The sequence below is a fragment of the Homo sapiens genome, chromosome 22, assembly GCF_000001405.40.
Source record: "Homo sapiens chromosome 22, GRCh38.p14 Primary Assembly".
Lineage (NCBI taxonomy): Eukaryota > Metazoa > Chordata > Mammalia > Primates > Hominidae > Homo > Homo sapiens.
In genome coordinates this window covers 46,064,076-46,076,730 of record NC_000022.11, presented here as the reverse complement: position 1 = coordinate 46,076,730, position 12,655 = coordinate 46,064,076, and the positions used below count along the sequence as shown (strand labels likewise).

General features: G+C 52.2%; 1 protein-coding gene and 1 long non-coding RNA gene across 4 annotated transcripts in view, besides 7 other annotated features; one reads left to right on the top strand and one right to left on the bottom strand.

Annotated features, from left to right (window-relative positions):
- LOC124905135 (collagen alpha-1(III) chain-like) overlaps positions 1-12,655 on the bottom strand; it is a 69,285-nt gene that overhangs the window by 37,198 nt on the left and 19,432 nt on the right. For 2 of the 3 annotated variants that reach the window (XM_047441695.1, XM_047441697.1), the window contains exon 1: positions 4,083-5,016. The exons of the other annotated variant lie outside the window; for it this stretch is intronic. The gene's annotated coding sequence lies outside the window, so the exon portion shown is untranslated. Of the gene's footprint in view, positions 1-4,082; positions 5,017-12,655 lie in introns of those variants that run through there. 3 annotated transcript variants of the gene reach the window in all.
- Positions 3,688-4,240: an enhancer, noted in NCBI's record as "H3K4me1 hESC enhancer chr22:46468371-46468923 (GRCh37/hg19 assembly coordinates)". NCBI's record gives its function as "activates a minimal SCP1, AML or CMV promoter by ChIP-STARR-seq in naive and primed H9 embryonic stem cells {active_cell/tissue: H9 hESC(naive and primed)}" and the evidence as "EXISTENCE:reporter gene assay evidence [ECO:0000049][PMID:30033119]".
- Positions 4,241-4,795: an enhancer, noted in NCBI's record as "H3K4me1 hESC enhancer chr22:46467816-46468370 (GRCh37/hg19 assembly coordinates)". NCBI's record gives its function as "activates a minimal SCP1, AML or CMV promoter by ChIP-STARR-seq in primed H9 embryonic stem cells {active_cell/tissue: H9 hESC(primed)}" and the evidence as "EXISTENCE:reporter gene assay evidence [ECO:0000049][PMID:30033119]".
- Positions 4,389-4,468: a silencer, noted in NCBI's record as "silent region_13902". NCBI's record gives its function as "represses an Ori minimal core promoter by ATAC-STARR-seq in GM12878 lymphoblastoid cells {active_cell/tissue: GM12878}" and the evidence as "EXISTENCE:reporter gene assay evidence [ECO:0000049][PMID:35858748]".
- Positions 4,639-4,728: a silencer, noted in NCBI's record as "silent region_13901". NCBI's record gives its function as "represses an Ori minimal core promoter by ATAC-STARR-seq in GM12878 lymphoblastoid cells {active_cell/tissue: GM12878}" and the evidence as "EXISTENCE:reporter gene assay evidence [ECO:0000049][PMID:35858748]".
- Positions 4,809-5,018: a silencer, noted in NCBI's record as "silent region_13900". NCBI's record gives its function as "represses an Ori minimal core promoter by ATAC-STARR-seq in GM12878 lymphoblastoid cells {active_cell/tissue: GM12878}" and the evidence as "EXISTENCE:reporter gene assay evidence [ECO:0000049][PMID:35858748]".
- Positions 5,149-5,228: a silencer, noted in NCBI's record as "silent region_13899". NCBI's record gives its function as "represses an Ori minimal core promoter by ATAC-STARR-seq in GM12878 lymphoblastoid cells {active_cell/tissue: GM12878}" and the evidence as "EXISTENCE:reporter gene assay evidence [ECO:0000049][PMID:35858748]".
- Positions 5,289-6,068: a silencer, noted in NCBI's record as "silent region_13898". NCBI's record gives its function as "represses an Ori minimal core promoter by ATAC-STARR-seq in GM12878 lymphoblastoid cells {active_cell/tissue: GM12878}" and the evidence as "EXISTENCE:reporter gene assay evidence [ECO:0000049][PMID:35858748]".
- Positions 5,710-12,080, top strand: LINC02939 (long intergenic non-protein coding RNA 2939). Its single transcript, NR_148973.1, has 2 exons — positions 5,710-6,092; positions 8,860-12,080. It is a non-coding gene; the product is annotated as a long intergenic non-protein coding RNA 2939 (long non-coding RNA).

The following is a 12,655-nucleotide window of genomic DNA, read 5'->3' as shown; positions in this document are numbered from 1 at the left end:
CCGGCTAAGGCCAACTGGGCCTGGCCGACGGAGGCCCCATCCGGCCCACGATCCCAAACGTGGCCGTCTTTCTAGCACTCGCCAAGTGCAGCCCTGCGGCTTTCAAAAAAAAATCACGGAAGAAAACAAAATTAACTCGTGCAAGCTTAGCCTCCACTCGACAAAGAAAGCCAGACGTGCCCACTGAAATTGTTCAAGAACCACGGGTCAGGAGACTTTCTTTTTTCTTCTCTAAATCTCTGTCCCCAACTACATGTTTGGGGCTTGCCATTCCCGGATGCTCGAGCTCCACGGACCGTCCCAGCCCAGGGAACACTGGGCAGCCCTGAAAATAAATATTTCATATGAAAGATCCATTGTCTCTGCTTGGAGACAATTGTTGCTTTTTCTCCCTACTCAGTTCTATAACATCAGAAAGCATGACCCATGCCATTTAGAGCTCTCTCTTATTCCGACAAGATGTTTTCAGCAAGGACGATCTTGCTGGGTCTTCCTGAACAACCAGCTAGGAGGGAAAATTCTCCAAAGCAAGCATTTTGGTTAACGTACCAGGCCAAAGAACAATTAGCTCGTCAGAGTGGTGAAACCCTCCCAACAAATCACCATCTGCATTTCCAGCGAGGACGCTGGTGGCTGGTGTGGCTGCTCTGGGCCCCTGCATCAGGACGTCCTGCCCCCTTCTTTCCTGCCCCTGAAGTGGGGGGGGGGGCAAAGGTCAGATCCAGAGCCAGCACCCAGGCATGCTTTCCGTCCTGTCCCTGGGAAGGAGTGCCTCCTCCGTCAGCACTTCCCGGGTCCCCAAGGAGACCCTGGTCTCATCTTGTGTACCCAATGTGAGGTGCAAGATGCATCTGGAAGCCACATTCACACCAAGTCCCTGTGGTGAGAAAAGTGCTGGCTCTGCAACCTCCTGCCAGTCTACCTGGGAGGTATCATCAAGGTCCACTTTTGCTCCCACCTGTGGGGCCGGGAGAGTAAACTTCTTGGTTCATTTTCTGATGAGACCGAAGTTGGGTTATCTGTTACTTAGAATATAACATCATACAATATATAAAATAATAGTAGTGGCAAGTAAAATAAATAAAAATTAAACAACAACAGTGATTATTGTTGACAACAATAAGTGACAACAGCAGTAGCCATTTATGTCCCGCCCCTCCCCGACAACGTGCCTGGAATGGTGCTTTATGGAAATAATGTTTGAAGTCTCTGAGGTGGGTTAACACTCTTCCCGCTTTACAGCTCAGAATCCAGGCTGAGGGAGGAGCTCAGATGTGCCAGGGTCACCCAGGGAGGGGCAGGGGCAGACTGAAGCTCAGGGTGCAAAGACTCCAGCTTGCTGCGATTTCGGCAAGAGCATTCTCCTCTCTCCCCAAACATGCAAAGAACCCTCAAAACCCAGCGACAACACCCCAAGGAAGCATGGTGGCTTTATGGTGTTTCCTGCCCGGCCTGGAAGGACCCCTCCCTTCCCAGAGGCCGCCCTTCAGCACATGCATGCATCTACACTGCACGAGAGGTTCCCCTGGACACGAGGCAGCACCTGCCCAGGCAGGGTGCCCATCTGGGTGGGCAGAGCTTTTCCCAGTTCCTCCTGGGCCACACGGTCTGCCTTCCAGTCACACGCCATCCATGCTAGGTAGGAAAGGCCCCACCGCCCTTTAGGGGGTCGGAGGGAGTGAGACAGGTTCACACGGACAGCCTGACCCAGCCAGGTGCAAACCACATAACAAAAGGTAACCCTGCTGCAAAGCACCACGCTGTTGCTGCGGAGCAAGGCAAACTGCTGGCCTGCACCTGCTCAGGCAGTGTGCACGAGACCTCAACATGGCAGAGGGGCACTGCCCAAGTGGAGCCCAGCTCGTCCCCATCAGCACCCTGGAGACCCTTCTCACCCAGGAGGGTCTGGGGCCTGGTGAGGCCCCAGCACAGGCAACGGACTATCCTGGGGTAGGCCCCGGTTTAAAACAAAACCAGAAAAACCGGGGCCCATCCTTCCACCAGCCCACACCATAGTCCTTGTGGCCCTGGGCCACTGCTTTCCACATTCTTGATGTTAAATCCAGAGGTGATTAAAAAAACAGACAAGTGTCAGTTTCATTTTCAGAGCCTTCTCTTTTGTGTGTGTGCCCTCAAAAATGAACTGTGCCGGGATGGGAGACTCCAACACCACTGGGAAGCCCCTGGTGGGACCCTGAGACTCTGTCAGGCTGAGCTGGCTCTAAGGAACATGGACAAAGGCAGGACAGGGCCTCGCCAGGGCTTCTGTGCCCAGCGCTGGCCCCAACTGTTGGCTGCAGAATCTTGACCTCATCCCATTTCATGGGCCAGGGCCACACTGTGTGGCAGGAGACAGGGCTCTGGAGCTTTGACGAATAGCAGCCCTCACTTGGCGGCCCTGGAGACTGCCTCCTCCGACGTTCAGGCCTTTCCCTGGCTAGCCCCAGGTCTGGCCTGTGGGAGCAGGAGAGCTGGATACCGCTTGTTTCGGAATCTGTTTTAATCCAGAGGGACTCCCCGCAGCCTCAGTAGAGTGCCACACCATGCCTGCCCTCCGTGCTATGTTCCCAGTCTGCTGTGGCCTCCGGGTAAACGTCTCCAGCATTTTACAGGCAAGGCCCCGGTGGAACTTGAGCTTCTTCTAATTACCAACCTCGTCACTGCCAACGCCATGCCAAGTAGAAGCTCCCGGCTATCACGGCATGCCTTCTGCAGCTGCGCCCCGATTCTGAGATCGCCCCCGAATGTCCCACCCCAGGTTTCATGTCTGCTAACTGCCTCTGATAAAGTCATAAATAAAAGCCCAAAATGGAGCGAGGGGGCAATGGGAGAGGCAGCCCAGCAAAAAAGACGGCCAAGGTTAGTTCTTCCAGCACGGAGGCAAACTTTCCACCTCCGGCCGCGGCTGGCTGGACCCGACTGAAATGGTCCCCTCAGTCCTTGGGGTTTTTGGGGAGGGCACTAGGCAGCCCAGTGGGAGGGAGGCATGAGGCAAGCCTGGACTACCCAGGCCTCTGTCCCTGTTCCCAGAAACACAGCCTCCAAGAGCCAGCTCATGGCCCTGGGGTGTTATGGAAACAGGCCCCCCATTATTTTGTGGTGAAAGCACCCAGCAAGATTATCCAAACCACCTCAGTAGGGTGGGGAGGGCAGGGGGGACATTGCACCTGTGACACAATCATACTAAAAAGCAGGCTCAATCCCCCACAGTTTGGGGTTTCATTTTAACCCTAGCTCCGTACACACACGGACAAACACGTATTTTAAAACCCCAAAGAGCTAGAGCCAATGAACTCCAATAAAATGAAGCTATTGCTGGCCTGCAGGCTGCCTCGGCTTTTGAAACCCACCTTTGAAAAAAATTAATCTCCACGTTACCTTGAAACCCTATAATCATTGCACGCAAGCATTCCTTCACCCCTTTCTTGCTCCTCACAAACTCCCCAGGACCACTGGCTGGGCCTGTGTGAGGCACCTATAAAGGGGCATTTTACCACAAAAAGTTACGAATTGTTTTTCGTTTTACACCACCGTAAACAGCAGCTTTCACACAAGGGCCTTTCACTGAACCGGCCCAAATGCCGCCAACGCCGAACCGAGGATCCCCCCTCAAATCAGCTGTCCCCAAGTGTCCGACCAGGGGGAAAAAATCAGCAGCGTGGGTTTAGGAAGTAAATGAAATATTTCAATCTTCCAAGAAAGAGTTGTAGCTTCCCAATAACCTTTCCAAACACATCTCACCAAAAAAAAAAAAAAAAAAAAAAATCTAAAAACAGATGTTTTTTCTTTTCTTCCCATTGTGTTTAAGATGTCTGCTAACGCTTATTTTATGTGTTCAACAAGATTCTCTCTGGCAAATAGCCTGCACACCTGAGATTAGAAGCTGTGCTTCACAAATTCCAAGATCCAGATTAATGCCGAGTGGAGTTCTTGCAAGCTGGTGCGGCTTCAGGTTCAAGAGCAACCTCCTCGGTGCGTTCCCTGGTCTGTGGAAGGCCTGCCCTACGGAAGGGTCCCTCTTAGAGATCCCTTCATTAATATTTAAATACTCACTAAGCAGCGAAAGTGAGAAATGCACTTACCGTCCTCAGGAGTCGCCGTGAACCCGATCGTGACCTGGGGCGCACAGGTCGACAGCCCTGCCCTTGCGGGAGGACCGTGCCTGGCCGCCGCCGGCGCCGCGCTCGCGTGCCCAGAGCTGCACAGGCCCTCAGCTAGCGGTCTGAGTCCTGGGTTCCAAACGCTCACCCTCTTCCCGCGTCGAAGCGGCGGACGGCAGAGCGGTGCCAGTTCCCGCAACTCTTCGCAGGGTGGGACGGCTCTGGACTGCCGCGGGCGAAGCGCACGGCCCAGGCCCCACTTCCCCGGCCCCGCGCCGCGTCTCTCCTTGCCTTCGGGCTCCGGCTTCCCTGCGCTTAGCGACCCGACTGCGCCACAGAGTGGCCCGCAGGACCCGGTCACGGCGTCCGCGCGCCGCAAGGGACCTTTGTCCCAGACGAAAACGAAAGCGCGCCGGCCCCGGGACGCCCACGCCCTGCCGCGGAGAGCCCGGCCGGCGCGCCCCGCGACTTTCTCCAAGTTCACGTGCATTCCGGGGCGGGCGTCGCGAGCCAGGACTTGCAGGGCCGGGCCGTCGGGCGGGCGGTGGGTTGCAGGCGGGCTTGGGGACAGCCCGGCGGGGCGGGCCGGGGCACAATGGGCGCCGCCGGACGGGCGGGCGCGGGGACAGCGTGGGCCCGGCCGCCGCGCGGCCGCTCGTCTGGCGCTGCCCGGGCGCCGAATGCGGCGGCGGCTTGGCACAGACGCGCCGCGCGCCCGGTGCATGCTAATGGCCGGCGGCCGCGCCATGAATTATTCAGCAGCGGCGCGGAGAGGGCGAGCGCGGCGCGGAGGGCGACCCGGGCCGCGCGTCCCCCGCCGCTGCGAAGCCGCTGCGGCGACTTCCCAAACTTTCCCGGGTCGGCACCGAGGATGCGGCCCCCGCGGCGCCGCCGTCCCCGCCCGAGCGCGCCGGCCGCGCTTCCCCCGTTGCCGCCTATTTTATGTCTTTTGTCTCGGAGTTGGCACCTGTCCCAGAGAGCGCGTTTCCCTGCCCACCCCTTCGCCGCCGGATCGGAGCGGGGGAGGGAGTACGGGGAACCCAGGGAGGAGGGGACGGGGAAAGCAAGGCGCCTGCGGGCCCCGCAGCCCGCGGAGACCGCCCGAGAGCGGCGGCGGTGCCCGCGCGCCCGGGCACCCCTGTTCTGCGGGGAGGTCGCGGATGCAACCGCGCCCGGAATACCAACGAGGCCCCCCGCGGCCCCCGCCGTGCCCGCTGCGGGTGAAGACCGGGCGCCGCCCCTCCTGGGTTCCCCCTTCCACCGCCCCCCACCCCGGGACGGCGCGCGCGGGCGGGGCGGGCGGTGCGAGCAGCGGATTCGCCGCCCGGGCCCCGCGCCTCGCCCCGCAGCCCCGCGTGCGCGTCCCCGCGGGCACGCCGCCCCGGGCGCTCCCCTCCAGCGCGCCCCCGCCCCGCGGCCCCTCCCGCCGCCCGCCCCGGGCAAGGGCACCGCGTCGCGGAGACCCAGCGGCCTTCCGTTTCGCGCCCCGGGGCCCGCGCGGCCGAGGCGGGCGGGCGGGCGCGAGCTCCCGGCCCGGCCCGCCCCCGCCGCCCTGGCACCGAGGCGGCTGCTGGGGCGCGCTCGGCGGCTGCGCTCCAAGGCGCCGGCTGCCATGATTGCGGGCAGCGGGACGCGCGCGCACGCTCGGGCCCGGCTCTGGGACCCCTGGCTGACCGACGGTCCCTGCAGTCCCCGCAACCTGGTGCCCGCAGCCCCGAGCGCGCCGCGGACAGCGGTCAGGCTCTCCAGGCTCGTCCCCGCGGGGAACAGTGTGCGCTGCGGAGCTCTCGACGCGGCCCCGGGACAGCGCTCGGGGCCGACGGTGGCAGCGGGCTTCCCCCAGGGCGGAGCGCGCGCACGGGCAACCCCGCGGCGGCTTCCAGGACACCGCCGGCCCCGCGGAGCAAGGGGTGCCCAGAGGGGTGGGAGTCCGGACTCGGCACACGGGAGCCGGCCGGCGGAGGCAGGGGTCAGCGCACAGTGCCGGGAGATGTAAGAGGGGCGCGCAAGGTGCCTGGAGGAGTTGGGTTGGGGGGTGGTTCACGGTGCCCGGGGAGGCGTGGGATGGGCAGGGGCGCGGTGCCTGGAGCCGCTGCCCAGCTCCGAGCGCGCTCTCTTCCTTCCCGGTGGCAACAACTTCCTGCTTCCCCGACTCAGGGCACAGGAGCTTCGGGGAGAAGTTCAAGGCCACAGCTTTGCTCTCTCGGAGCCCGATGGCGACACTGCTGGCCCCGGGCCACACGGTTCCCTCCCAGGCCCTCCCGGTGGTTGAGACCGGCCGGCCTCTAGGGTCCGGACACGGGTTAGAATGCCAAGGAGGCCGCGGCGTCTTTTCCCGCCCGCTCCACAGAGGCGCCTGAGTGGTTCCCAAACCGCAGAGGGGCCGGCCTGGGCCTCCGGCTCTCGGGGACGCACGCGGACACAGAGTCACTATTCGCAGACCCCGTCCCCCTGCCCGAGCATGCCCTGGCCCAGAGCCGCATGGAGCTGATGTCCCCAGACGCCTGCGACGGCCCTTTGGCGGCCAGGGCCCGAGAGAAACAAGGCCTCCCGGGTCCCAACCCAATGTCTGTCTGTGCCTGTCTCCCCCCAACCCCCCGCCGCCGGCCTTGGCATTCTAACCAGTGTCCCTTGACGTCACATCTCGCCATTTCTGCCAACCAATTGAAACTTGCCCGTTGTCATAAAAATATATATACTTTTTATGCCATTGGTAAATTCAAAAGTTCCTCGTGTGCCCTGCTTCCCAGGAAACTTCATTTCACATTGGATTAGACTGCCCAGGAGGGCAACGCTGGGCTGGGGCAGCCGGGCAACTCTGCCAGGGCCTCGCTGCCCACTGAGCTGCCTTCCACAGCTCGCTAGACCCCCATGATTGTGGCTGTGAATTGTGCCAGCCACCCTGATAAACACACCACTGCCTCCACCCCATGACACACGGAATTTGGGGGGAGGGAAGGAAGAACTCAGGGTATGTTAAGAAACCTTCCCAATTGCTTTCCTGGGAGTTGGGGCGGTGGGGACTGGAATCTTACTACAGCATCTTCTTTTTAGAAGCTGAAAGAACTTTAGGGATAGCTTTATTATTTTTTTTTCTATGGGAAAACTCAGTTTTAGAAAATGGAGTAGAAATGTTTTCCAATTAATCTTTTCATTGGAATCCGGACCAACTTTCACTTTCCATAGCTGCCTGGTGGCTTCACTATCGAGTGGGGTGCCCTCTTTTCCTGAGGAAGGTCCTGTGTCTCCCCCTCACCCCCCAGCTCCAAGGGCTGTGGGGCCCAGAGCTGGAAGCTCAGGAGCTCTGTGCTTCCCCAGAAAAGGGCACGGCTCTCTCGGCAGCCTGAGACGCAGACATGCCGTGTCTACCTTCTAGCAATACAGCAGGGGAAATCAATCCTGTCTAGCACAGTGCTTTATCATTTTCTTTCTTCACTATTAAAATTTTCAGCCCCAAATAGGAAGTGTGGGGTGAGAGCACACATTCCCACAGGATGAGTCTGTGCCCAGCAGTGCCCAAAGTCCCACATATGCCCCTGTAGCCCCTCCTAACCCAGCCACACTAAGGCAGAACTCAACCGCTAACTGCTCTATAAACTCCTCCTGTACCCCATCGTTGCTGTATGGTTCAACTACTTTAAAAAACATACTACAGATATTTTGTGGTTTAGCAAGTTTAGGGACTCCAGAAGAACAAAAATGCTTTAGAAACTGAGATGAATGCAGAGATCTAAACATCATAAGCACCAGGCCTTTTAATATGGAATCTTGTTTTTCCAAAATAATGAACACAGCCGGTAACGACCAAATGGGGATTCTGAACATAAATATATGGTTACTATTCTCAATAAAACTGTTCTCAAGGGCAATCTCTAGAAATGATGCATACCTCGGAGATACACGTTCAAGCGAAAAAAGGAAAAAAAAAGGCTACACCCAACAACCACACTGTATTTATAATCACGTTCCTAAACACTATAAATATTATAACTAATGTGATATATGTTTTGTGATTAAATGGATTAAAACATTGAATTTAAAAAGCCACAAAGAAAAAGAGATTATCTTCTATTATGCCACTTACAAGTTTTGTTCCATTGGCACAAATACAAATTTGACAACTGTATCATTACTGAACGCAGTGACTAAATGCCAGGATATTAGCTTTGTAATTTTCACCTGAAATCATTGTATAATCATACTGGCTTGCTAACCTTCTTTTTATTAAATGATTTTTTTTTCTTGCTCTCACTGTAATAAGTTAATTTAATGCCTTTTTCCCACTTCCAATTTTTATTTGGTAAAGCAGGAAATCAGATAAGTCAGAACAATATTCAAGAACACACACTCTTTTTAAAAAAATTTCCCCTGTACTTGGCAAGGATTTACATATAATTTGGTTGCAAATTCAGAAATCAAATGCCGCTTTATTCAGCAAAAATAAGAGCACTCAGGTAATTCCACTGGATATTATTCAGGTTAGATTGTTTCTGTCTATTTGCTATCATATTATTCAAAGTAAATAATAATATTTTTTACAGTATGCTCAAATTATCAACAAGAAAACCCGGAAAATTTACATTGTTGATGAGCACTGTGATGGATAAGTTTCCAGGAAGAAAAACTTGGTTTTCGCCTGTGGGCCACAGCCATGCCTGAGGTCAGATGTTTGAAAATAAGGTCTAGGAAGGCTGCTGCTGTACTAGGATGTTTACAGTGTCAGCCTTATACAGTTATTTTTTTCCTGATTTCTCCCCAGATCCGCCTAATGGGAATGGAGCCGGCAATTTCCTGCTGCCTTGCTTTCTCCGCCAGCCCCTGGCCCACAGTCCAGCCTCAGAAGGCTGAGGGGGGTGCTTCGGTTTCGTTTCTTTTTTCTCAACGGGTCGACATTTTAAATTTCTCAGTATCCAAGGCATTATGAGGACTTAGGAAACAGATGCATTTAATCTAATTAAAGCAAGGACGGCGAGTGAGTGAAAAATTACATTTTCACTTGGGTTCTGAACATTCAGTTGCACATCCAAGAATAATGATGTTTTTAAAGCCAGCCCAATAAACTTGAGATTGCAAGTTTTCAGTGGCTCCTGGATAAGATGCCACTTCGATCATCCTAGACAATGTGCCTTTTGAGGAGCTGCTCAGCAGCTTTGGGGACTCTGGATAAAGGCAAACCAGGCTTATGATTTTTTTTCTTTTGCCTTTGTTTCAAAGTAGTTTGCAGGTTTGAGAGTCCATTTTCATAGGCCTGTTTCATGACAACATACGCTCCTACCGCATGATGGGTTTATTTTCACTCTCAGTTATTTATACGCAACCTCTAAGCATCAATCCACCTTGGACGAACATACGCGTTTATAATTTTCATAGAAATAAAACAGCAAAAGATAATTCAAAGTCAATAGGGTCTCAGGCTGGGCAAGGAAATGTGGGCAGGCACCCGTGAAAAGGGTTCTTTCCTTCTGACATGATGAAGCATTTTTCAAAATCTTTTGCTTTATTTCACTGTTTTTTGTCAAACTTGGCATTTGTTTACCAGCAACAATAATGAAACTCTGACCGGGGAACAAGCCTGTTTGAGGACAAAAGCGTACACCGGACACTGCACTAGCACACCCCACCCAAAACAGCAAACAAAAAAAGCCCAGCGTGCTGGCACCATTTTTCCTATCTTCTTTCCTTTCTGTTTCAATGTAAAGAACATACTTAAGTGTGCCTGCCTCTATGAGTGATGCACATCGTGCTTTCATGGTGCCAGCTCCACACGCGTGCAATCACATGTCTGGTTCTAAACCTGTGTAAGCAGCGCTTTGTCACCTTTAACATGCTTTGGAAGTCTACACATTCATGTTTCATGTTGCGGTGCCTGCGTATGTATCTCAAAAAGAAGTCTAACAACCCCGAAAGCATTCTTAAGGGGTTAATTATTACTTTTCAATCAAAAGGAGCGCATAAAACAACTAGAAGTCTACGACAGGCGTGTGTTCAATCATATATGAATATATTGTACATAATATTAATAAACAACATGCTAGTATGAAAAATTTCCCCTTAGGAATGAGGAATTACGATTAATGTTTTCCATTCCAAAGTAGTAACAACACAAATCTGAAAATATGTATTAAGGATGACGGGCCAATATCTCTGGTTATATATGCATCTATCAAATGCCAAAGCTAGATTTCTGACTTTAAATGAGGAATGAGAAAGGGCACCAAACTAAATTTTTAAAAAACAAAAATTACCATTCCAGAAGTGGGTGCTGAATTAATTTTAGTCAATCACTTCTACAATTTCTTAAATGGAATAATCAGAAATGGGGAAATTAACATTTTTCTAAAAAGTTTATGTGCTACTTATAATATTTTATTGTACAGGTCTTCAGCGGGCTAGGTAAATTCCTCTAGAATAAATAAAAAAAAGAAAGGAGAAAAAACTGATTTTGAACTCAAATGGTTTGTTGTTAAGTTGCAAGGGACTGCAGGAACTTTTTACTAAAATCAAGATTTCACAGATTACTTCTTTAAAATTACTACAACAAACTTAAGCTGCCCACAAATGGAACTCATACTGAAATTGGGATTTGGTTTTGGGGGATTGTCAATTACAAGTTGTTTGGCATTTGACCACACTGGTCTTATTTATTGAGAGACTCCCATTTTATTTTTAAAAAATCAAATGTGACTTCACACAACACAGGTGACTAATTTATATATAAAACCAGTTTCATTTTCCTGACTATGTCCCAGTATCCTAGCTTTTAGACCTGGTTAACTTCAAGGTTAAGGTCAGATTTTTCATAGGCACCCTTTCTACAGAAATACAAGAAGTGTTTGAACTGAACTTATCACTACAAGACAATATTTAGTTGCTGTCCAAAAAATGCTAAAGAAGAAAACCGATGCTTTTTTGTTTCTTGCTATTTTATAGGCAACTTTTGGTATAATTCCTAATTTCAAAAGAACATGAAGTTCATTTTTTTAACTCCCCAAAAAAGTGGTACTGTAAGCAACCAGACAAGAAGGGACACTGACCTTGAAAATGAAAGTCTACATAATATTTACATGATAAACATATTTTTAAAATCGATTTCAAAGTAATCAGAGACGTGGATAGGTATTTTCACTATTTTCACTCCTTTTTCGCTTGGTTTTCAATGATGCACAGAGGCAGGGGTTTTTGAATATCATCAAAGGTTTGTACCTTTGCTAATAATATCTTATCCGTCAGTTTTTCAAGTCTGCATTCTAAATATACTGCAAGATGCTGCCCGTTGACTTTCTGTCTGAGAGGAGGCAGCGGACTCAGAACCGCACGCTCCTTCCCTCACTCTCCCGACTTCTCCAAAACTGGAAGTCTCTCACACGTAGAATGCCAGAAATTTATAGAAGGACTCCAAGGCTCCCTGAGAAACTTCTCGAGTTGGGAAAAACCTTGTCAACGCACACCTGGACCTACAGATTCGGAAAAAGTAACCGGCTGTAGCCAAAAACCAAACACTCAACCACCCGAACACAGTCTGCAAGAAACACAGAGTTCTTTGACGTGACAAGAAGAATTATAAATAAAATAGCTCCAAGGCAGACAGGCTGAATGAGCCTTTTAAGACAGCCTGTTGGTGCCTCAAACTTTAATACTTAGAATATCAAATGTTAGCTCCACGAGGATAGCATCCTGGGATACGTGTGTGTGTGTACGCATATGTATACGTGTGCATAAGTGTGTATATGTAGGTTTGTGTGTAGCGATAAATGTTTTGTTGCCTTTATGGCCTGGGGGCTGATTGAGGGCCTGGTGGAACGCCCCTAGCCCAGAGGAAGGAGCAGGCCCTACCTGCGTTCTCCCTGGGTTACTCCCTACTTCATTACACGTAGGCAAACACCAAAAGCCAGGGAAAGCATAACTGCTGTAGATAACAAGGGCAGATCTCAGATAGAGAAAAGCTTTCTCTGCAATAAAGAATTATTTTGTGAATGGTAAGCCAGGCTGACCTCATTCATCATCATCAGGACAAAGCATAAGCAAGCCGGTGTTGGGAGCGCGGCGCGGTGCGGCACCAGGGCGCCGAGAAGGTGTGCCCTCTGCCAGGCAGCTCTGGAGGCCGCACAATCCGGTCCCCCAGGAGAGATGGCCCAAGTGTGTGGACCGGGCTGGGGTTTGGGCCCAGCAGACGCTTACGCAGTCCAAGCTAGGCAGGGCAATGAAGGGCTGCAGACGACAGGCTTGGACCCCGGGACAAACACTTAGGGCTCTCAGGCGTATGTCCCAGGGGGATCTCCAAACCGTCCACTCCAATCCCCCAAAGTGGGGGCCAACTCGTTGTCATGTTCGAAGGCCTTCAGAGGCCTGGGATGCTCTCTGTTTCGACTCCATTTCTCACCGTGCTCAGCCCACCTCTTTCTTACAGCCAATGCAGAGGATTTTGACACCACGGTTCAAGTCAACAAAATCATCCTGATCACTTAGTAAGTGCCCGGCACCATGTCAATCACTAACCATTTGAATCCTAAAACAACGGCCTCAGAGTAGAGGGTTTTTCCCTAAGGTAGTAAAGA